At 35.6% G+C, this 25048-nt stretch overlaps 1 protein-coding gene across 1 annotated transcript, besides 2 other annotated features; it reads left to right on the forward strand.

The window, feature by feature from the left end:
• Nucleotides 1-17165: 17165 nt before the first annotated feature.
• ATXN7L3B (ataxin 7 like 3B) lies at nucleotides 17166-24761 on the forward strand. The gene has a single exon (NM_001136262.2). The coding sequence runs from the start codon at nucleotides 17444-17446 to the stop codon at nucleotides 17735-17737; it is 294 nt and encodes a 97-aa protein (NP_001129734.1). The 5' UTR covers nucleotides 17166-17443; the 3' UTR covers nucleotides 17738-24761.
• Nucleotides 17381-17430: an enhancer, noted in NCBI's record as "active region_6665". NCBI's record gives its function as "activates an Ori minimal core promoter by ATAC-STARR-seq in GM12878 lymphoblastoid cells {active_cell/tissue: GM12878}" and the evidence as "EXISTENCE:reporter gene assay evidence [ECO:0000049][PMID:35858748]".
• Nucleotides 18100-18189: an enhancer, noted in NCBI's record as "active region_6666". NCBI's record gives its function as "activates an Ori minimal core promoter by ATAC-STARR-seq in GM12878 lymphoblastoid cells {active_cell/tissue: GM12878}" and the evidence as "EXISTENCE:reporter gene assay evidence [ECO:0000049][PMID:35858748]".
• Nucleotides 24762-25048: the final 287 nt, after the last annotated feature.

Raw genomic sequence — 25048 nt, forward strand, 5'->3', positions numbered from 1 at the left:
ACATTTCTGTGTGGCTGGGGAGGCCTCACAATCATGGCAGAAGGCAAGGAGGGGCAAGTTACATGCAACGTGGATGGCAGCAGGCAAAGAGAGAGCTTGTGAAGAGAAACTCCCGGTTTTAAAACTGTCAGATCTCATGAGACCCATTCACTATCATGAGAAGAGCACGGGAAAGACCAGTCCCAATGATTCAGTCATCTCTCACCAGTCCCCTCCCACAACAGGTAGAAATTATGGGGGCTACAAGATGAGATTTGGGTAGGGACACAGAGACAAACTACATCAACAACAAATCTTCCTACTGGGAGAAGAAATGTTAGTCAGCAGAACTTTTAGCATTCTCAACAAGCAGCCAATGAACTATATGGCCTGACGTGTTATGTAATAGAGTACTTTATCCTTAAACAGTATTTTCCTATTTTATTTTCTCCATTTCTAATAAACACAAAGTTGTGTTCTAAGTTTTATGGACTTTGGTGTACTTCACAAGACAAGAATTTTAATACACATTTAACCATGATATTACTAACTTTCTCTCATACATAGCCAACATTTTTGAATTTTTTAAAAAAGTTTTATTTTAGCTTTTAAACAAAAGTTAATTTCTTATGTCCCCAAAAAGTATGTCTATACCATTCAAAATGAAGAAAATAAGGCACAATGATGTAATTGACATACTTATGGCCACAGGAAATACAGAGGCAATAGCATCTGTCACCTATGCATACTTCACACAATAAACATACCTGATTAATACAGTCAAATGTTAGAGTAAAAAATGAGAGCAGAAAGCAGAAAACACAAATTCTAGATGAAGTACAAATTATTCAGTTATGCATGCATTCAGCACTTATATATTCAGTATTAGGTGTGTTCCAGGTTTTGTTCTGGATGCTGAAAATATAGTAGTTAACCAAGACGGTGTCTGATCTTCTGGTACTTATATTCTAGTGAGAGAGAGGAGTGATAATTATATAAATTGTAAATCATATAGAAATTGGACATATTTAAGCAAGATAAGTTGAAAGTATGCAAGGGGAGAGAAAATGGTGATAAGGAGGTTATATTCGATAAGTCCATTGAAGATGACCTCTCTGATTAGATATTTGAGAAAAAACCTGGATATTGAGAAGGAGGGAACCTTGGAAAAGTGTGAGAGAAAAATATTTCTCACTAAGTGGATAACTAGTTTAAACTAAGGTGAAAATGAGTTTATCAGGAATAACAAAAAGGCCATTGTGGCTAGAGCACAGTGAGTAAAGGTCAAGAGAATGAAGTTGGAAAGGGAGCCAATAATCATATCACGTGAGTCATTGTAGGCCAAAGAAGAGTTTACATTTTGCACTAAATTAAAGGAAAAACATCACAGAGTTTTACATGTTTGTGTGTGTATGTGTGTGTGCGTGTGTGGGGGTGTGTGTGCATCACTTGGGTTGGTTGCTGTAGGTCAAATGAACTATTAAGAGGAAAGAGTGGAAGCAGAAATACCACTTAGGGGAAAATTGCCCCAGTTGAGGTGTGACATAATGGTGGCCGGGTCATAAGGATGGTGATGATTTAGAAAGTGAAGAATAATACAATTTGGCATATTTTGATTTTCGAGCCCACAGGATTTTAATAGATGGATATAGATTGAACAAGTACAGAGAAACCAAGATTGACTCAGATGTTTAGATTGTTTATCTGGTTGAATGGTAGTGAATGAAATGGGATAAGAAAAATGGGGAAGAAACAGTTTTGTGGAAAAGGTGAGAGGAAATCAGCACAAAGTTATGTTTTAGATATGTAAAAGTATTTGAGACACTCAATAGATATCCATACTGGAATGTCATCTAGACTTTCAAGGCAGTGAGACTTTCAAGCCTGGAGCTCACAATAGTGATTAGAGCTCAAGATCTAATTTAGGAATTGCTTGTCAAAAAAATTGGATACTTAACCTAAGTTTTTTAAACACACATATGAGAGTTGACTATGTGCTCAAGTGCATAGATTAATTGGAAAAAATACAGGCCCTATTTGGAACTCTTTTGAGTTTAAAAGACAAAGTTTTGTTAAATTCTAGAACAGCATGTCAGAATAAGTGTGCATGGGGAATAAGAGTAAGTGTGCATGTGTATATGTGTGTAGCTAATAGGAGGAGCTGTTTCACCATAGGATCTCTAGGAAATGTTCTATTTTATCCAAAGTTAGTTAACACAATTTTATTTCAAACATATTCACATTATTCTAATTTTCTACTTCCTTATACTGTGTCTTAAGTAGTACCAGGTATTACCACAAATTTTAAAACATATTTTACATTATTATCTTATGGATATAAGTGTATTTCTACATTGAGGATTAATTTTAAAAATCTAGCTCCTTTGATGCACATTAGATTTTATACGGAGGTAATATGAATATAAATCCAACAAACCTGTTTATATAGGAAAGACTAATAGCATTTCTTCTAAACTTTCCACTGTCTCAGTAGATTGAAAAGGTGTTAGAGCAGTCGTTAAGGATAAGGAAGGAAATCTAATTAAGAGAAATTTTTTGACCTGTGGATATGATTAGGAATTACTTCAATCAATCCAATTAGGAGCCATTCCTCCTAGTTGGACAGAATCAAACTCAGTGGAAAAATACCTTAATATTAATACAACATTGTACACAAATCTTGTCAGCATTTGAAAAAGGAATTTATAAAAATATTTTTATTAAAAAATCTTATTTTAACATATGTATGAGGATATTGCTTTCTGTACACCCTAATCAATTAATATACGTGTTTTCTATAATTTAAACCAATGGATATAGTATTTGCTTAGTCTCATATGAAGACTCATTTATTGGGTAATTGTTACCCGACAATCTGTCTTTATTTAGAAAGCTGTTTTTATTCACATCACATCTTAAAGGCTGAGAAATAAAAGTCATAAAAATATCAGTGACAGATAAAACAGAGAAAATTGCTCTGAACAAACTCTTCTAGAATAGTGTGGTGCATATAAATTATGAAAACACTAAGACTTGATCAAAAAGGAAGGTCTTTAACTTTCATTTAAATGCATGAACAGATGTGGCAGACCTAATGTCAATGGATAAATGGCCCCAAAATGTGGAATATGAGAACGAGATCTCTGAATGTTTTTAAACTCATGCCAGGCATGGCTGGATTCCTCCCACAATAAATGAAAGACCTAGGGTGCATGTAGGGCAACTGTCAAGGCTTATAGAGCTTTGGCCACGAAAGAAAATTGAGATGGCTTTGTGAAGAGAATTATTATCACTTAAAAATTAATTTACTGTTTCACAGTCAACTGTACATATGAAGCATATAAAGACAAGTTGAACCCCAATTAAAAAATGCATATCATGTAAGTCTATTTTGAATTATGTCTCCAATTGTATTCTTTATTTCCTGTATAATTTCATATATGCTTGCAAGCTAGCTAAAGCACCAGAAAATCTATTTGCAGATTTACTACAACAAGAATTCCTTATGTTTGCCCCAATTGTTTGTGTTTGTGTGCACATTGTATCTTCTGGTAAAATTTTCAGGTTTGGTTAGTCTGACCTGATGTTATAAGTATACTAGAAATTTTAATTCTGTGGAAGCACTTGTGTCACTATGGCATATGTTCCTCCCAATACAAGGATTATTAGGACAGTCTCCAGATGGATTTAAAAGTTGTTTTAACAAAATTCAAAGCCTTAAAATGCTTAATTTTAAGAGCAGGTAATAGTTACATTTGTAGTGCAACATACTAAATTGTGTCTTTAGAGGCACTGATTATATATTCTTAAAAGTAGATAACAACTGACAATCATATGGCACTTTATTTCTTATAAAGCAACTTTATTTAAATTATTCCATTTCATTTTCTCTGTCATTCTGTGAGGTTATTACTACTGTGACCCAAATAAATTGTATCAATTTGACTCCCTCTGCATTACCATAATCATTCCCTTTTCTCCATCTTCAATGCTGTTGTGTTAGTTCATGAATTTTTGATCTCTCACCTAGACTAGAACAATAGTCTATGAGTTATTTTTCTGCCCACGGTTTCATAACATTCCATTTCATCTTCCAATTGATGCCAAATAATCTTTCTAATCTATCTGGAAAAATATTTAAAGGACCACAAGTTTCTTTTTTCCATCTTCTCCTTTATCCCATCTTCAGACTTTAAAACCCATATTTCCTTCACTCCAGGCTTAAGGAGTAATTTACGGATAATAAGCATGGTGTGCTAAGCCATTCTTGTGTTGCTATAAAGAAATACCTGAGACTGGGTAATTTATAAGGAAAAGAGGCTTAACTGGCTCATGGTTCTGCAGGCTGCACAGGAAGCATGGTGCTGCATCTGCTCAGCATCTGGGAAGGCCTCAGGGAGCTTTTACTCATGGCAGAAGATGAAGCAGGAGCACGCACATCACATGGGGAGAGCAGGAGCAAGAAGGTGGGGAGGTGCCACACTTTTAAACAACCAGATCTCCTGAGAACTCATTCACTATCATGAGGACAGCACCAAGCCATGAGGGATCCTCCTCCATGATCAAAACACCTCCCAGCAGGCCCCGCCTCCAACACTGGGGATTACATTTCAACATGAGACTTGGGAGGGACAAATAACCTAAACTATATCACATGGTATGTAATTTCATACCTCTATACTTTTCATCATGCTCTTCTGTCCATGTAAAATGTCCCTTATTCCACCTATATTTGCTGATAAGCTATATTCTTTTCCCAATTCCTAAATAAAGGGTTTTATTCCTATGAAATTTTTCCTTCTCTGTACATAGAATTGACCACTTCATTTTGGATATGCCTACTGAATTCTACACATACATTTATTGTAGTTCTCCTAATTATTGATTTGATTAGTTTATGTTTATTTCTCTATCTCCACTAAGTATCTCTTTGGAAGAGAGACTGGACTCATTTATCATTGTATCTCTAGTTCCAAACACACACATACACAAACCTCAATATTTACTGAACATAGGAGTAAGTGAAAACTGGGGTTGTTTGAATTCAGAGACTAATATTTCCTCCACATCATTATAAGAAATAAAAATATGATTATGTTTAATGCACAATGCTCTTTTAAACAATTTACACTTTATTTTATTTCACAATACCGTTTCATGAAAAAGTGCTATTTTAATGTCCATTTTACAGATGATGTAACTAAGTCCCAGCTGTTACTAAAATTGCCTAGGGCTATACAAATAGTACATAGCCAAGGCTCTAACTTCAGAGTCTGTGGATTTAAATGCTACATTATGCTTTTACATAACGAAAGTGAAGATAAAAAGTTAAAAATGAATGAAATCAGATTGTAGATGTAAAAAATTTATTGTTTTGAGACCTTAATGTAAGATGGATATTGGCATCAAATCTGAACTCAGCAAGATCTCTGCTACCTTTCTCTTTTCTCGTCTTCTTCCATGGCACTGTTCCCAAAGAAAAATCTACATTATACAGATTTATATAGAATTGCAATTAACTCTATGCAGGAAAAAGTAGATAAAAATGAGAAAATTTGGGGCAGTTTGCAAACTGCCAAATTTAAGCCTGAAACAATTAGCCTAACTTCTTTCCCCTCTGCCACCGAGTTTTAAAATGCACAGTGTGTCACAGATCAACTATTGACTTAAATTATTTAGGGTATAAAAAATAAATTTTAAGCATTATGCTTTTTTTGTTTATCTTGATATTGAGAGTATTTTTATTTATTGTATGTTGTACCATATTTATGTATTTAGAATTTTATGAGGGAAATATTTTGGTGTTACAAGTATAGCAACAACAACAAAATGCTGTCTTGTTATTTTCTTAAAAGTTCCATGAAAAAAATCATCAAAGAACCAAAGGTAAGCATACTATAATTTGGCCATGAAAACATCTCCTTGAATTGGAAATACAGCGAAAAGGCAGGAAAAAAAAGGAAAAATTACAAATCAAAAAAATAACTCCTGGAACTTGACATTTGCTTTGGAGAAAGATGGTAAGAGCATCTATGTTTAAGTGGAAGATAATCTCACTGCACTAAACTGTGTCAAAGACACATTCCAATTGTGTGTTGCGTAATGAAAGTTGTTTATTAAGCCAATTTATATATGTTTGAGATTTTGTTTGTGAAACAGAGACAGGCTCACCCTCCCAGAGAAAAGCAATCACAAAATAAAATATAAAAAATACATAGATTAAAACCACTAATTCTACCTTGCCTAAGTGTATTTCTTCTATTTGTTTTGTGTATCTTTTCTGTCACTAATAATTAACCTTCAAGGTATCAAGAAAATCATCACCATCATTTGCCATTTGGGTTCAAAAGGAAGCCTTTTAAAAATAAATTGGTGTTTTAATAAATAATTCATAGAAGTAAGAATAAAGAGTGGAAACACTATCTTATTTATATTAGAAACTAATATAAATACCTAATATAATTGATTTATAATTATATAAGTAATATAACTTATATGAACACTAATTTGTATTAGAAATTTTAAAATAAATTTCACCATTGCAGACCTCTTTATAACAAATAAACTTTGGCATGCAAACATCATAATGGCTAAAAAAAATACCATTACATCTCCCTTTAACAAAGCAGCACAGAACAGGTCCTTGCTGCACAGCATTGCCTAATGAAGCCTTTTCTATTTAATGCCTAAGTAGAATAAATTATTATATTCCTTTTTGTCCTTGGAAATATGTTTTTCACTTATAGATACTTGAGTTTGAGAAAATTCCTCTTGTTATTGTCACCTGAAGACTCATTGTATCATTGCCTGAGATTTTACTTACATTATCCATTTCACCATCATCATTAGAGTATTACTACCTATTTATTTGAATAAATCTTCTGATTCACTAATAATTGTAAAACATCTTATTCATCAATTTTATTATATATCCCATCAGGATAGAAAATGAAAAATTCTGAATTCTCAATTATGTTCAATAAAAGCTAAAAGAAGACTATAAAGATGGTATCTCCTGACTTCTTTTATGCCTTTTTAAAAGATGACGCAACATTTTGGGCAACAGAATAAAGAAACTAATAAGTCTTTCACTATTACTTTATCCTTCTAAAGGAAACGTAGCACAGGTAAACATTTTCTGAAAGGGCCATATGATAAATATTTTAGGTATATGGGCCACATGTTCTCACTTGTAACTGTTCAACTTTGTCATTGAAACAAAAGCAGCTATGAACAAAATAAATAAATAAATGTAACTGTGTTCAAATAAGTATTTTTCAAAATCTGTATTGGTCAGAATTTTCCAGTGAAACAGAATCAATAGAATGTGTATTTGTTTTGTATCTACATAAAGATGTTTATTATAAGAAATTGACTCATGTAAATATTGAGGCTGAGAAGTCCAGACCCAGGAGAACCAATGGCATAAGTTTCAGTTCCAGTCCAAGTCCTAAGGCAGGAGAAGACCTATGTTCCAGCTCAAAGACAGGCAGAGATAGAGAGCATTCTAACTCATCTTTTATTCTATTCAAACCATTAAGGAATTAGATGAGGCCCACTCATATTGAGGACAGTCAGCCTTACTCAGTTTACCAATTCAAATGTTAACCTCATTCAGAAAAATTATCAGAGACACATCCAGATTCATGTTTGATCAAATATCTGGGCATCCTGTGACCCAGTGAAGTTGACATACAAAATTAACCATCATAAGTCCAACCTTTATCAACATGACACCCATACACATCTCCTTAAACCATATTTAATCTTCAAATAAAGACAATAACAAGGTCATAATTCCCTCTAGCATGATTCAACTTTCTTATGTACAACCACAAACATATTATGTCCCTTTCCCAGAGGACATAAAGTCTTTGAGTGATGTTTACTCTCCTCTTGGATATCCTGTAACTTAAGTACTATGATAAAGTTGACACATCTTATGTTACATGACAAGGGAATAAGAACAATTCATAAGAGTTTAATAAGAATAAGGAAATTTGGCCCTCAATCCATATCATTTCTGTGGATATAGATAATTCCATCATTCTTCTTTTTTTTCTGTTTTGCCTTTTAAAACACAACTAAGAATAATTGATTAATGATGAAAGAGTTCCTATAGTGATAAAATAGCAAAATATTTCAAGATATAAAAATTAAGATTGCCAAGATTTCATAATGTTGCTTAGATTTAGAGATATGTACAATAAATTCATAAGATAGAATAAGTTTTATTCTATTCTAAAATGATTAAATTTTGCACTTTTCTTTGACAGAGTGCTTTAAAAACGTGACGAAATATCAATTTTATCAATAGTTGAAAATACTAACATATGAAATTCAAATCTAAATCCTGGGACAATAAACTCTGTAGGCACATCAAGTGTTAAGAATCTCCTATATATATGACATCGTGCTAAGTGCCATTGGTGATATACTCATCTATGTTTGTATCTTTTCCATAAAATGCAAGGCATTTGCCTCTTCAGAAAGCAAAAGCCACTCAGTCAGGAAGTGAGAGAAACTATCTAAGGGCTACGTTAGGGATTTACTGAAAGTTGACTAAAAACACTTTTAATAGCAGTGGAGGCTGGCTAAGGAAATTAGTGACAAAAGTAGATGCTAATGTGAATAAAGATCAAAGATTGGTAAATTATAATAATATAACTAAGAAGGATGTTTTAGGAACACACAAAATCAATGAAGCTAGAATAAAACTAATAATCTCTTATAATTGGAATAAATCAAGACAAATTATTTCGAGAATTAAAAACTAAAGAACAGGTTCTTTACTTTTGTTCTGCCTAAATAAACAAAAAAGAGGCAAAATGCTGGCAGATTAAGTTTCAAAACAGTAACCAGTGTTACTTTATTTATTTATTTATTGAGACAGAGTCTCACTTTGTCAGCAGGCTGGAGTGCTGTGGCACGATCTCGGCTCACTGCAACCTTTGCCTCCTGGGTTCAAGCGATTCTCCTGCCTCAGCCTCCTGAGTAGCTGGGACTACAGGCATGCACCACCATGCCCAGCTAATTTTTGAAGTTTTTTTAGTAGAGATGGGGTTTCACCATGTTGGCCAGGATGGTCTCAATCTCTTGACCTTGTGATCTGCTCGCCTCAGCCTCCCAAAGTGCTGGGATTACAGGAGTGAGCCACTGTGCCTGGCCCAGTGTTACTTTAATAACAAGTATCTGTAATTAATATATGAGAAATTCTGAGATAAAATCACGTTAGTACCTTAATTTGCTCTTTATTTTACATTTACTAGAATTTTTGCAAGAAAATTAATCTCTCACTTGGTGGCACTTGCCAGATGCCCGTCTGTGGAACACAAAACGTAAAAGCATCCCACCCACCAGTTTAACAGCTTGACTTAAGAAAATATGAGACAGCTCTTCATGAGAGAAGAAAAACCAAAACAAACCTAATGGACATTAGTAAAATTAGAATAAAAAAGTGTGTTCAATTATTTACATGAGTTCTTCTTTATAACTTGAAGGCAAATAACTATGGAAAAAGAAAGGAATAAAGAAAGATAAAAAGAAACTTAATTTTTCACCAAACAACACAGAACCAATTTGGCCAAAAAAGTTGTAAAAATAATACTACTTTTGGGCAGAAAGAAATTCTATGTGAAAATCTGATTCTTAAAACTCTCTCAAGGTATGTTCGTAAATTAAGTTTATGTACTTTTTGTGGAATGGATGGTTGGTCATCTGAAAAATGTTCCTTGTGAATCTCCAGCATAAAAGAATTAAAGAGCACATTGTGTACAGCAACACTGTATGTGTTTTAGCACCTTGTGGATAGGCAAAAAGTGCATAGGTTGTATTTTAGGACTTCAGTCACTGGTACATTCTACATTGGCAGTAAGATTTTGATTTATGATATATTAAGATGATTCTAAAGTGGTTCTATTTCAAAATGCATTATAGAAAGTAGTCATTACTGAATATTAAAAAGTAGACATTATGTAAAAATAAGCCAGTAAGTTACAGAGGGAAAAAAATATTAGGAGTTAGAAGTCTTAACACTTAGTCCTAACTCTGCCTCCAATTCACTTAACATATCTGACCTTAGTTTCTTTATCAGAAATGAAGATATTATTTCAGTTTCCTCCTTTTTCTCTCAGATGGGAGAAATGAAAAAATGCCATGAACTTCTCTCAGGGTCCTGTATTCAGCTGTCCCTTGCCATTGGTTCACTCTGACATGTACTAGCAACTACTAGGCATGTTTCACTAATCAAGACAAGTCCAAGAAATAGTTTACATGCCATGGTAGAAATTCCTCACCAACTGTGAGGGTGCATGATTGTGTTTGACAAAACTAGGGTTAGCTGGATCAAGATCTTCTAAAAAGTTAGCGGTGGAAAAAGCAATCAGTATAACGCCATTAAACATATTAAAAATTGATCTAAAAAAAGTTCCAGAGGATATTTATGTCTAGAAGAAACCTAGGTTGTCAGCCTTATAAACCTACTCTAATGCCTGAACTTTCTTCAGAATCATCTTTGTTTTTTAATAATACAGCATCCTAATCTACTAAGATAAATTTTTACCCCAGGTTTTAGACATAATAGGGTATTATGTCTGCAACTTACTACCAAATAGATCAGGAAAAAAATAGTTCAAATTTGTGATAAGGAAACTTCAGTGAGAGAAATGGAAAGACATAAAGTAAAAGTGGCAAAATGTTCATGAGTAAATCTGAGTAAAAGATAGGTATATAGAAAGTATATATTAATATTCTTGCAATTTTTAAAAGTTTGAAATTCCTTTAAGATAAGGGTTTTTGGTAGTCTCCTTTAACTGTTACCTATTATGCTGCCTAATCATAAATTATTTTCAGCATTCAAATGTACACTTTTCTAGGCCCAACCTTATATCTACATAAATTATAAACAATTATCTTTTTCTATACTACTATGTAGACTTTTTCACAGAAGAAGAGGACATCAATAATAGTCTATTTTTATTTAACAAATAGCTTATCACCTTCAGAGGCAGTTTCATACGCCATTTAAAACATATTTTAAAAATGCAACTCATCCCCAACTAACAATAGTTCAACTTATGATTTTTCAACTTTATGATGGTGTGAAAGTGATAAGCATTCAGTAGAAATGGTACTTTGAGTACCTATACAACCATTCTGCTTTTCACTTTTAGTAGGGTATGCAATAAGTTACATGTGATATTTAACTTCATTATAAAATAGACTGTGTTGGATAATTTTGCACAACTGTAGGCTAATGTAAGTGTTCTGAGCACATTTAAGGTAAGCTAAACTAAGCCATGATACTTAGTAGGTTAGGTGTATTAAATGAATTTCTGCTTTGTAATATTTTTTACTTATGATAGGTTTATAATGACATGAGTCTATCATAAATCAAGGAGCACCTTTATGCTTATATATACAAATACATAGAAATTTTTCTAGAGATCTTTTGAAGCCCTTTTATAGATCAAAGTGGCTCTGAATAACTGATACATTAAAATATCAACTTTTAAAAATATTTTATTATGCAAACTATTAAAATTGCCACATTAGTATAATATTCTACTTACTAACTACAGGTAGCTTGGAATTACTGTTTCTTTCTCTTTAGCAGATTATAATCTAGAGTTGTCATAAATACCAACATTCAATAAATTGCCTTGATTTCAATTTAATAGGGCAGATTCAAATCATAAATTTATTTTAGACATTGTGATAGTAGCATGATACCTCAATTTAATATAAAATTGTGGCACTCTGAATTTCATGTAAACCTTAATAATTATTTCCTAAATGCAAATTTTGAAAACTGGATTTCAGCAGAGGATGAATTTGAAACTTCAAGCTAGCTATGCCTGGGAAGATATGCCAGTATTTACAGTTGAGTTATGACACACATACATATATTTTACCAAATTATTGACAAAAAGGCATAAAATGCCATAGCTTATTTCTGATATATAGTCTAATGAAAAAGTACTGTTTAAAAGAGAAGATAATATGGCAAAATATTCCCTCCTTCTCTGATTTACTATTCATTTATCTTAAAAAACTTAAGTAAAGAAACATAAAGTTTTATAAATATTCTATAAGTAAAAGTAAAAATGGGCTTCCTAAAAGTCAACGTCCCTAGATAATTTTTTTTTAACTAAAAATGATCATTCACAAGCAACACCATTGGATGTTAGGGAAGCTAATTTCAACACACAGTTGGTATTCAGTAGCTAAATAATTCTTTTAGCCCTAAAATATGGAGGTAATTCAAGATGCTCTAGGGAGCAGAATAGATTAATTTGATAAAGAAATCCTTAGACACACAGTTTAGGGTTCAACATTTGAGCTTCATGGACCAATATACAGAGGAATTTACTTGCCTTTTAACTGGGTGGAACCCATTTCCTCAAATTCCTCAATATATAGTTATTTAATTTTCAAAGAAAAATTTAGAAAACATGAGTCAGTCAGTCAGTTTATTGCAAAAGTGAATTTACCCTCTTGCTCATGGTCACCTGGTTAGTTAGTGGCTGAAATAGGCCAGCAATTAAGGGCTTTGACTCCACTCTCAGGTCTATCCCTTGAAGCACTCTGCTGCCTCACTCTATTTCATGTGAACACAAAAAAGTGTGGCTTTTATAAACATATCTTTTATGGAATTTCAATCTTTAAAGAAAACCTTTAAGTAACAATTTAAAATGTGTTTCTCTTTGAAAGAGCTTATTCTGTCAGTGCATATATTACAATTATTGAATGGGAAGAGAATAATCAAAGACAATTAAAATGTCATAATACATTCATTTTACTTGCCTTAATTTGTGCACAATTTTAAGCAATATTTTTGAAGATTATTTATAAAGAACTAATCTATGTTACTTTCTTTGTATTGAGAAAATCATTTAGATAATAAAAAATTTCTAGGCTGGGCGCGGTGGCTCACGCCTGTAATTCCAGAACTTTGGGAGGCCGAGGCGGGCAGATCATGAGGTCAGGGGGTCGAGACCATCCTGGCCAACACGGTGAAACCCCGTATCTACTAAAAAAATCCAAAAAATTAGCCGAGCTTGGTGGCAGGCGCCTGTGGTCCTAGCTACTCGGGAGTCTGAGGCAGGAAAATGGCGTGAACCCGGCAGGCGGAGCTTGCAGTGAGCCGAGATCGCACCACCGCACTCCAGCCTGAGAGACAGAGTGAGACTCTATCTCAAAAAAAAAAAAATAAAAATAAAAAAAAAATAAATAAATAAATAAATAAATAAATAAATAAATTTTATTTTTATACTAAAGGCTTAAGTAATACCTTCAATCTTACTAATTGTAAGAGAACTAAGGAGTTTTTCTCAACTTTTTTTGTGGTATGTTATTGATTTAAGGCTGATTTAACATAGAGTTTCAGTGTATATCAATCAGAAGTAAGATAATCTAGTTAAATTATATAAGTAGAAAAGAGGTGACAAGGTGATAATGAGTGTTATTGCAAATATTTGATGTCATGATAGTGTTCCTTTTCTAAGATTAAATGTAATAAAATACTGACAAGAAGTCTAAACCTAGCCATGATCCAGATTATTTGAATATCAATTAATATGAACATTTTCTGTATATATTTTGAAGTAAATTTTAGTGATGACCCCTCTTAATAACATAAATTGAGTACTTGTATTCCAGCTCTCACAACACAAAGAGGATTTAAGGGATAATCTTCTTCTCTTCTGTGAAAATCAAACATGCAAAGACTCTCATGATAATTTCCAAGAATAAATTATATGGGAGCCAACTATAAGGAACATATGTCCACTATTAAGCCCTTCTAATTCCTTGCTACTTATAATGTGGTCACTAGCACATATCAAAGTATGTTAGAAATACAGAAAAGGAGGCCCCACCCTAGATTTACAAAATCATACTCTACGTTTTTAAAAGATCTCTGAGTGATTCATATACATGGTTTTAGAAGCACTGCTTTAAATTTGGAGAAAGCATGAGAAAGAAGGAATTTGTGTAAACAATTGTATTTATATCTATTTTCTCATGTAACTAAGTATGCCACAGTACTAGTTATACAACACAATATTACATACTACTGTATTTGTCAAGCACGGTGTGAAGACATTCATAAAATTTATTGTCATGTTTTAAATCTCACCACAAACTTATATGATGAGAACTGTTATTGACATTTTATTAAAGGAAAACTGAGATTTACAGAAGTTGACAGGACAAGATCACACAGACAGTAATGGGTAGGAGACAGTCTGACCAAAGAACTTGTACATTTAATCATAATATGGGCTAGCATGTGGCTATGTGGAGATTTCAATTTATATCAAAATATGATGCCAATTTTTGAATGTAGAACATATAAATTATACAAAGACTACGATGAATAAAAAACATCCTGCCTCAGGCGGGGCGCGGTGGCTCACGCCTGTAATCCCAGCACTTTGGGAGGCCGAGGTGGGCAGATCACGAGGTCAGGAGATCGAGACCATCCTGGACATGGTGAAACCCCGTCCCTACTAAAAAATACAAAAAATTAGCCAGGCGTGGTGGTGGGCACCTGTAGTCCCAGCTACTGGGGAGGCTGAGGCAGGAGAATGGTGTGAACCTGGGAGGCGGAGCTTGCAGTGAGCCGAGATCGTGCCACTGCACTTCAGCCTGGGCGACAGACCAAGACTCTGTCTCAAAAAAAAAAAAAAAAAAAAAAAAAATCCTGCCCCATATTTCAAGAAAAAAAAAAGAAAACTTACAGTACATAAGTCTTAAAGTCTAGGCTTTCAAAATGCTCCCTATCAGCCAATTTATGGTTTTTTAAATGGTAAAATACGCAATCAGAAAAGTTTGGATGGGTACAAGTACTGGCTACTCATAAACCAAATAAATTTAATCTTCTATTCATGAAAACAAAGAGTGAGTGATATGGTTTGGTTATTTGTCCCCATCCAAATCTCATGTCTAATTATAATCCTCACATGTCAGGGGAGCTGGTGGGAAGTGATTGGATCATGGGGGGGATTTCCCGCTTGCTGTTTTTGTGATAGTGAGTGAGTTCTCACGAGATTTGATGGTTTAAAAGTGTGTGCCACTTCCCCTTTCACTCTCTCTCCCTCTTGTCACCATGTGAAGAAGGTCCTTGCTTCCCCTTCACCTTCTGCCATAATTGCAAGTTTCCTGAGGCCTCCCAGTCATGCCTCCCATTAAGCGTGCAGACCTGTGAGTCAGTTAAACCTCTTTTCTTCACAAATTGCCCAATTTCGGGTAGTTTTTTATAGCAGTGTGAAAACGGACTAATACAGTGAGATATTAAGAATGAATACTAGGCCTGGCAAGGTGGCTCATGCCTGTAATCCTAGCATTTGGAAGGCTGAGGCAGCAGGATCACTTGAGTTCAGGAGTTCAAGACCATCTGGGGCAATATAGCAAGACCTCCTCCGCTAAAAAAAAAAAAAAAAAAAAAAAAAAAAGAAAATAGTTAAAAGAAATTAGTCTGGGGTTGTGGTGCACCCCTGTAGTCCCAGCTGCTTGGGAGGCTGAGGTGGGAGGATTGTTCGTGCCCTGGAGAGCCATGCTGCAGTGAACTATGATGGTGCCACTACATTCCAACCTGGGCAATACAGCGAGACCTTGTGTCAAAAATAAAAATAAATAAAGAATGAATAAATTCTAAAATATTTAGATGTTCAGATGATCTTATACATTAGAAAATAATTATTTGTATCTGATTAAAAGATACATGTCTCTCCTTTAATCTGGAAGGGAAAGTACAGAATCAGACAGATATAAATATGTATTTTGTATTTTTCTTTCTTTGGTTAACAATACTTTTAAAATAAATTATAAAGATAATACAGGCTGCTCTATTTCACAGCAGTTCTGGGGACCAAATAATGAGCAAAAAATAAAGGATATACTACAGCGATTTTTCTCATATTCAAGTTCATAACTAATATGATTAAAAATAGCTTACATTTACTGAACCATTGCTTACATGTAAGGCACTGTCGCAAGATTTTTAAAAATATAATTTAATCTTTTTTTTTTTTTTTTTTTTTTTTTTTTTTGAGACGGAGTCTCGCTCTGTCGCCCAGGCTGGAGTGCAGTGGCGGGATCTCGGCTCACTGCAAGCTCCGCCTCCCGGGTTCACGCCATTCTCCTGCCTCAGCCTCCCAAGTAGCTGGGACTACAGGCGCCCGCCACTACGCCCGGCTAATTTTTTTGTATTTTTAGTAGAGACGGGGTTTCACCATTTTTTAGCCGGGATGGTCTCGATCTCCTGACCTCGTGATCCGCCCGCCTCGGCCTCCCAAAGTGCTGGGATTACAGGCGTGAGCCACCGCGCCCGGCCAAATATAATTTAATCTTAACCATGAAATAAGAATTAGCTTTTTTTTCAGATGAGGAAACACTAAACTGTTAAATGTTGGCTTCAGGATTTAAACTTAGGTAGACTGGCTCCCGTTCTCACAAATCATGCATATAATTTTAGGAAAAATTTTATCTCCCAATATATTTAACATATTTCAGATTTCCTTCCTCTTTAAGTCAAAATGTACATCTAATTTTCTCTCTGAATTATTTTAGAGGTGTATGTTATCATCTCTTTATAGTCACATTGCCTTAATGATCTCATAAGTGAGATAGATGCCATGGGTTTATTTGATCAATATATACGAATTATGACTTTAGTACCAAGTTTCCAGTTTTTCCATTCAAAAAAAGACCGAAAGATAAACTATACTGTAATTTGTTTCCTTGCACCATCTAGTGGATTTAAATGACAACTGCAGCATTGCTATAAACGATTCACCAGTCAATCATGTAAGTCAAATTTTCAAACACCTCCGGAGAACTGTTCCTAAAATGATGTTTCGAATCACACCACAACAGTGCATATAATTATTAAAATTTTCCACTTTTCAGAGGATATCAATTAAGCGTGGCTGCTGAATTCATTAGCGAATGTTTAAATTTACAAATAAAGTAACATAAAATAGCATCCTCGCAATTTTTTAATAATCAGAGATAATGGAAGTCATACACTAAGTTCATCCTGTTCCTTTTCATAAACTCAAACGCTCTCAAAGCAGCAGCGCGTTGAGAAGCCCCAAGAGTCTGCGCGGAACCAGTGCGCAGGCGCTCTGAGGGGCGGAAGCGGAGAGGCGGGGCTAGGCCCGACAGGGGAGCGGAAGAGGCCCAGGAGGCTGGGTGAGGCGCTGAGACGGTTTGGCGGTGAGTCCTGGGCCAGGCGCAGCTGAAAGGCCCGCAACCCGGGAAACGTCAAAACAAACAGAAGGACTTGGGATTCCGGAGCAGTCGCCCCTATCGCTGCTCCTGCAGTTGCGGACGCCACCGACCCCGCCGCCGGAGGACTGGGCACTGAAAGGCCTCTAGGCCTAGGCGCGGCCCGCGGAGCCAGACGTGTTGCTGCCGTGAGTAAAACGAGCGCCCTCTCCGCACTCGTTTACAAATTAAAATGGAGGAAATTTCGTTGGCCAACCTGGATACTAACAAGCTAGAGGCCATCGCTCAGGAGATTTACGTAGACCTGATAGAGGATTCTTGTTTGGGATTCTGCTTTGAGGTGCACCGGGCAGTCAAGTGTGGCTACTTCTACCTGGAGTTCGCAGAGACTGGTAGCGTGAAGGATTTTGGCATTCAGCCAGTGGAAGACAAAGGAGCGTGCCGCCTCCCGCTTTGCTCCCTTCCCGGAGAACCTGGGAATGGGCCTGATCAGCAGCTGCAGCGCTCACCTCCGGAATTCCAGTAGCTGCAAAATGAGAGTCTGAAAGTGGCCAGGACAATAACATAGACTGGTCCTGTGGCTTCGAGGAGTAAGCTAAGTAGAAAAAAGTAGAAAAATCAGACAAAAGTTTTAATTCCCCCTTGAAGATCCTAGCATTTAAAAACCCAAAGTGGATAATTTAGGAATCCTTTTTTTAAAGTGTATTACCTGGAGCAAGCTCTGAAGCCCTGGGCAGGAGGAGCTGCACAGCCTGCGGGCCATGCAGTGCCTGTTGATCTCTAAACACACCAGGATGTGCGCAAGATCCTGTAGTGCCCCCAGTGCACAGGTGAGCAGTTGTGTGCCCAGCATATAAAATTTTTGGTTCCTCAGCCTTTCTGTCTGCCTGATGTCAAGGGCTTCTTGGACAGTTTGGACGTTACAGTTCGTCAGGCCGTGATCAGTGGCCTGCAGTGGGACTGCTCCTTTGATATCTGAACCTCTGTTATGGGCTTCTCTGAGACAAGTAAATGTCAGGTGCAAGATCTGGATACTAACAGTTTCAGTTTGGGAAATCCAAGAAAAAGAATTATCAAGTTTGATAGGGAAGCTCTGTAGCCTTGACTCCAGCAAGAAGAAAAGGTCAAAACCACGTGTTTCCCAAAAGTCCAGACTACAATGATTCAGCTGACTTGAGGACAAGGCCTAGCATTTGGCTGAGCAGAGCCCTCTTCCTTGCCCTCCAACCTGGTGGCATAGGCTTGGCAAATGGACAACTTGGTTGTCCAGACAGGTTGAGGATTCGGTTATGATCCCCTGGGGAGGTAGCAGGGACCTCTGCAACTATGCATGATTTCTCAAACTTCAAGATTCATGTCTGGATGTATTATGCTGTGGATATAAGTTTAGTAGGGCGGTCATTTCCTACTCTGAGTTACTGGTTACCTAGCCAGTCCATGGGTGTGACTTGGTCCTTAAGTCAGGTCACTATCTGCCTCCCACCCTGGGGGCAGGACTGAAGTATGGAAGAGCATCATGGCTGTGCAGGAGGCTGTGGTTTGAAAACTGAGCCCAGAGGGCACTTTCAGCTGCCCTCAATAATGTGAATGGATTAGTGCTAGGAGCCAAGGAGCAGGACTGGATTATCTCATCTGACTGTGTGCAGAATCCTGTTGAATGTCCCTGTTTTCTTTGGTTGGGCAGTCAGAGCTCTGCTATGGTGAACATCCAGACTGTCACCACTTTCTGTCTGCCGCTCGAAAGGGATAGTCCTTTCCACTCGGTCCCCTTTGGATCTTCTTGACAACAGGAGCAGTCCTTTTATTGTTAGAAGTCAGAGAAAGACCTCCAGAATCTCCTGACTTTAGGGAATGGTATAGGGGAAGATGGGAAGTAAGAGTCACATATCAAAACTACCCTCCACTTTATTCCCTGAGCGAGGGTTTATGAAGTATAAAGGGGTGGGAGCCCCGAGGTGAGCGGGAACGGTGCTGCTTTATTTGAAATGTTTTCTTACCTCATTCTGTGCCCCAGTAGGGGGTCCAGCCTCATCTGTCTGGCTTGGCCCTGTGTTCCTCCTGTCCCCTGCTCCACTGCCTATCTGGTGCCCCAGGTGCTGCTTGCCACTCCAGCTGTCACATTGAACAGTTTCAATTCAGCTCTTAATGCTCCTGCTTCCGAAGCCTGCCCAATTTCTTTTTTCTTGGCCTCTGTTTTTTTTTTTTCTTTCTTTTTCCCTTGTTTTTGTAGAAGACTCAGAGGAGAATCTTTCTTATGGCTCCCTCTGTTGAGATTGGAATTGGAAGAGAACTTAATTTTTTGTATTTAAAATGCAGTGTCATGCCTATAAGCATTTCTCCTATATAGGACTGCTTTGCTAGTGTGCCCTCTTGCTGTGTCTTACTTCATAAGGAGTTGTATCTTCCCACCTCCATTTCAATACTGCCGGTTAGGACCTAAGTAGAAGAGCAGTAAAGGCTGATTGACACACAGGGGGATGGAGTTGGTCCTTGTCCATTCTCTCACCCTTGCTGTGCATGTATCAATCCTTATCCCAGAAGGTACTATTTAGACTGTATAGACTGATTTAGATTACATACTTTAGAGGATTAAGGAAACCATAGAGTTTGGGCCTTGGAACTGTTACTGCCTTGTCCTAGAGTTGTCCTGATCAGGCTTGGGGCCTAGTTACAGATTAGTCTTAAAGAATTGCATTAACTTAAAAAAAATCAAACCTTGGCAAGAGCTAAAATAATTTGGAGATATCTTTGCCCTTGACTTGTAGACGACATCTAAGAGGATGAAGAAAGGAGAGTCTAAGTGAGACTCTGGCCTACTTCCTAACAATGTCTTGGAAGTGGGATGATGGTAAAGGAGAAAGGCCACAGTCCAATCCCTCTGCCTTCAGATAGGGAACTCAAATCCTGAAATTACTGTTTTCTTTCTGGCCTTTTCTCCTGGTTAGAGGAGGAAGCGGAAAGTAGTTTTGAGTAGTATTTTGTTCATATTACCCCCCTTTTGTTTTTTGTTTCTGGCCCCTCTACCAATAGGGCAGTAGCCTCCTGCCCTGGATGGGTATAAGGTGGGCTTGGTCCAACAGGTGCCCAGAGGGTACATACTCCTTTCTGGGGAGAGAATGCTCCCTACCATATAGTTGACAGTGGTTAGGAACTCTCCCTTTCCCTACCTACCTTCCTTTTAATAGCAGAATTCCTATTTTTCCCTTGATTATGTGTATTGATCACCCTGCAATCCTATTATGTATCTGAGTGTGTGTGTGTGTGTATGTGTGTGTTATGGGGGAAGGGGGGGGTTCTTTAAAATTTCTGTGGTTTGTGGCTTTTTCTTCCATACATTAGTTCCCACCATCGCATGCCCAGGGACCACTGCCTGGCATTATCGCATGCTGGGATCATCGGGGGAGGGTAGTGAAGCTCACCACTGTCCTTTGTTTTGGAGATTTTTATTTTTGCATAAGTAGTCCATCCTATACAGATAGCTGATTAACTGTATTCCCCTTTCCCCTATGGCTGCTGGTGTAAATAAACTGCATCTCCCCATTGGTAAACAGTAATAAAATTTTAAAAAATGACTACTTGGTCCTTGGACTCTGTATATTCATCTTTTAAAGCTGTATGTTTTCAGGCATTGACATAATGAGATAAACGTTGAAATGCTATTGAACCTTAATACTTCCTCCCTAACAGGAGTTTTATCAGAACAGAGAAACTGTCCAACCTTGTTTCTCAATTTGGCCTGCAAATTTAACTGTCTGTAGCATCCAGTGAAAGAGCCAAACCGTATACAATCATCCCTTTTCCATATGAGGTAAGAAGGTGGTAAGATAAATCCAGTCCTGTCACTAAAAGCCCACTGTGACAGATAGTTCCATTTGAATTGAACTCAATATATCTTAGTAAGTACATTTTACCATCATTTTAAGCTAATATCCTTGTTCTCAAAAGGTAAAGTGATTCACAGCAGACGATGGTTCTGCCTAATTTTTTTCTCAATACTTAAAAAATTACCTCAACACTTTAGATCTTTCATTTCATTTTTAATAGTAATTCTGAGGTTTTTCATCCCATTCCTAACCCAGAGTTTGAGCACTTCCCCTAGAAACTACTTAGTGATCCTGTGTCCTAATCAGTCTCTTGCTATGTGTTCTAATTTATTAAAGTTTCGTATTGGACATAATACTGAGATTAATAAAAATTACAGAAATGAGTCCAGAGAAGAATCTGACTCAATAGGATACCTCAGGGAAGCTTATAGATGTGTAACATGGTATTGAGTCTTCTCTTCTAGGAGCACTCGATGTACTTGTCACTGTCCAGTTTAAATAGGCCAGGGCCAACGTGGTGATTTGAGAAAACTTAAAAATTTGACGTGTGAAACCCATGATGTAACCATAGCAGGAGAAATTCTTCAAATGAAATTTCACCAAGATTGGGTATTTTGCCTTAAGTAAGATTTCTACTACTTTTATTAAAATTCACTGTAGGGATCTACTATCAATTAGCTTTCAAATACATCTGCAGCAAATACTTTTGGTTCCTGTTTTGTAGGTTTGGAGTTTAATATATTTAGTGCTAAGCTAATTAGTTTTCTAAAAAGATAATTGCAAGACCCCTGCTTTACCAAATACTTGACAATGGGACTTTGAAGGTTATTTCTTATGTTTTCTGACTAGTATGATCTTTAAAGAAAAAAAAAAACACATTGCATACCTTTTAACTACCAATGTTTAACCTCCTAGATTTAGCATTTAACTACAGCATGTACCATCAGGTCAAGAATCTGATAAATGATTGCTTGATGTTGACAAAGTGAAAGACAAAATGAAGTGTACTGAAGTAACTAAAAATTCAGGAAGAACTTTCTTGTGCACACATTAATAAGTAACATTGCCTTCTCTTAAGACCTATCTGAAGTGTTGTGAAGTTTTTCTTACAATTTTTTAAAAGAGATTTATGAAGAAACTATGTGCTAAAAGCACAACAATTATTAAATTTATTTTCATGTTGTTGTTTAATTATGGTTAACGAATTGCCAGTTTTCAAGTCAGCCAGAGATAATACCAGATTTCAGAAGTTTTACTCTGCTGTGAAGGATTACGAGCTCTCTGATTTTCATTTATGTTCCAAAAGATGCCCATAATGTTGCTTTGGAGGACAGCATTAGAAGTGATGTTCCTATTCAAAAAGGTTTTGTGGATAAACCTTAAACTCTTGGCGGTGTTTTTGTTTGTATTTGTTTTCCCATTTTTGAAAACATTTTCAATCATATTTCTTGAGACTCATTGGAAATATGTGAGCTAAAAAGGAAATACTAAATTGATTTTAGAGATGAAAAAAAAATCTTCAGCAGCAGTGACTTGCCCATAGTTCAAAAAGCAAAAATTTACAAGTGGTGGAAGCAAAAGTAGAATGCTGCTGTTGTGACTCCTAGGTCAGCGGTCTTTGTTGAAGCAATGGAGTAATAAATCAAACGACTAATTAAAAACAAAACAATGAAAAATCCATGATGCTTATGAACAACGTTAGGGCAATGAATTTGAAAACAAAAAAAGGGAAGTCTATTTTAAAATAGAACTCAAAAGTAACTCAAGGAATTGTTAATTTTTTAAGTAAATGAATACATCTATAACTTTTAAAACACCACACAATTAGAATTTTATAGAGAATACAGTAAATGAAACAACAACAACAAAAACAGGCAAAATAATACCAAAATAGATTTTTTTTTTAAATGAAGATGTTAGCAAACCAACTCCTTTAAAATAACAAAAGTAAACATCAACAAGTCAGTTTAATCACAGGATGGCAAGATTTCATCTCAAAATCATCACATTACCATTAGAGAAAATCCATGTGAAAATTTGAACTGATACTGAAAAATAGTTTGAAAAAATTCAATACGAATTATTGCCTAAAAAACAAAGACATTAACAATATAGAAACCAAAGCTCAAGAACTTGTACACACTGCAAAAGGGTATGTACCAAAAATCTACACCAGTTACTATACTTATTAATGAATACTTGGAAGCACTCCCTTTAAAAGCAGGAATGGAAGAAACAAAATTTTTACTGTTCTAAGATGATATTTACATGAACAATTTTATAGAATCTAGAAACAGTTGTTCTCAGATGACATCTACATCTACATGGATAATTTTATAGAATCTACAAACATACCATTGAAAGTAGTGAGAAAATTTAGCACAGTTACTGGATATAAGATCAATATCTAAAATCAGAATACCAACATTTAAAAAGTGTTATTAAATTTAGAATGTAATTCAACAAGTTATAACAGTCCTATGAAATAATATCACAAGAACTGTGTAAGATTTTATAAAGAAAATAATATTTTCTAATATGTTGGGAAAATCCCAAGTAAATGGAGAGAAGATGTTCACGCACAGAAAATGCAATCAATATCATTGCTCCAAATTATGTGAATCGGAAGCAATCTGTATTACAATCCAAATAGATGTGCTCATGGAACTTGACAAATTAATTTTAAGATTTATATGAACACCAGATGCTAGAATAGACAAGATCTTTTTGACAGATGTATATTTTAGTTTTGGTGCAGAAACAATGGAATAGAATAGAGTTTAGAATTAGATCGAAACACACAGATTACACGTTTATGTCTTGATGTGTGGTTAAATTTGTATTATAATCAGTGGAATATAAACCAGTATTGTGGAACAGATTATCCATAAATAATAAAACTGTGCTCAGACACAAAATTAATTCCTATATGGATTAAAGATTTAATGTGTAAAAGTAAAAAATGTCAAATCTTTCTAGAAAAATATAGGAGGATGTGTTCATAATTGTGTATAAGGGGAAAATTTCTTAAAAGTACAAAACATAGAGAAAAGATTGATGTGTTCGACCATAATAAAAATAGAACTTTCTGTTCATTAAATCATACTAGAAACAAACAAACCAATAACCTGATGTGCTAGTTGTTTAGTTCTTATAACTGATTAAAGATTACTAACAAAATAGTTGTACAATTGCCAAATGTATAAAGTAAAAGAACAGCTCATTCTTACAAAAAGAAATATGAATGGCCAAAAAGTTGTAAAAGTTCCCTTAGGTTCAAAGAAATGCAAACTAAAAACAAAATACCAATTTACCCTACTCAGTATGATTAAATTTTTTTAAATGGTGATGACATCAACTCTGAAAGGCATATGGAGCAATTAAAACACTTAAACTGCTAGTAGGCTGTAAATTGGTAAAAAATGTTTTTAAAAGCAATTTAGAAATACCTGTTGTGGTTGAAGACAAAAGTAACCAATATCCCAATATTTCCACCTGTTGCAGCATTATATGTAATAGGGAAAAATTGAAAGTAATATACCCATTTGGAATACATATAGTCACTATACTGAAGTGAGAATAAATTAACCAGAGCTGTACAAATAAAATAGTAAACCTATGTTCTTATACTTTGTTGCCTTTCTTTTGATGTTTAACAATAGGCAAATCAATGCTGTATGTTGTTTAAATAATTGTGAATATGAAATAAAAACTATACCAAAAATATTGGATGAGACTTCCACTTTCATGGTTATGTTCCTGTAGATAGCAGACTAATTGATATAGGACATCAGTATGCTAAGTAAATTGAGGTAAAGATACTCTTAAATGCATTACTGTGTTCCCAAGGAAGTGAAGGAAATACCCAGAATACCCAGGTCTTTCTTCTAACGCACACACACCCCAAAGATACAAATGAAAACAGAAAAGGAGAGTGCACTGAGGAAAATATAGATACCATATGATACTGGGAGATTAGACCCTGATCATCACAAATTGAAACTGTAAATGCA

This window comes from Homo sapiens, chromosome 12 (genome assembly GCF_000001405.40).
Source record: "Homo sapiens chromosome 12, GRCh38.p14 Primary Assembly".
Classification (NCBI taxonomy): domain Eukaryota; kingdom Metazoa; phylum Chordata; class Mammalia; order Primates; family Hominidae; genus Homo; species Homo sapiens.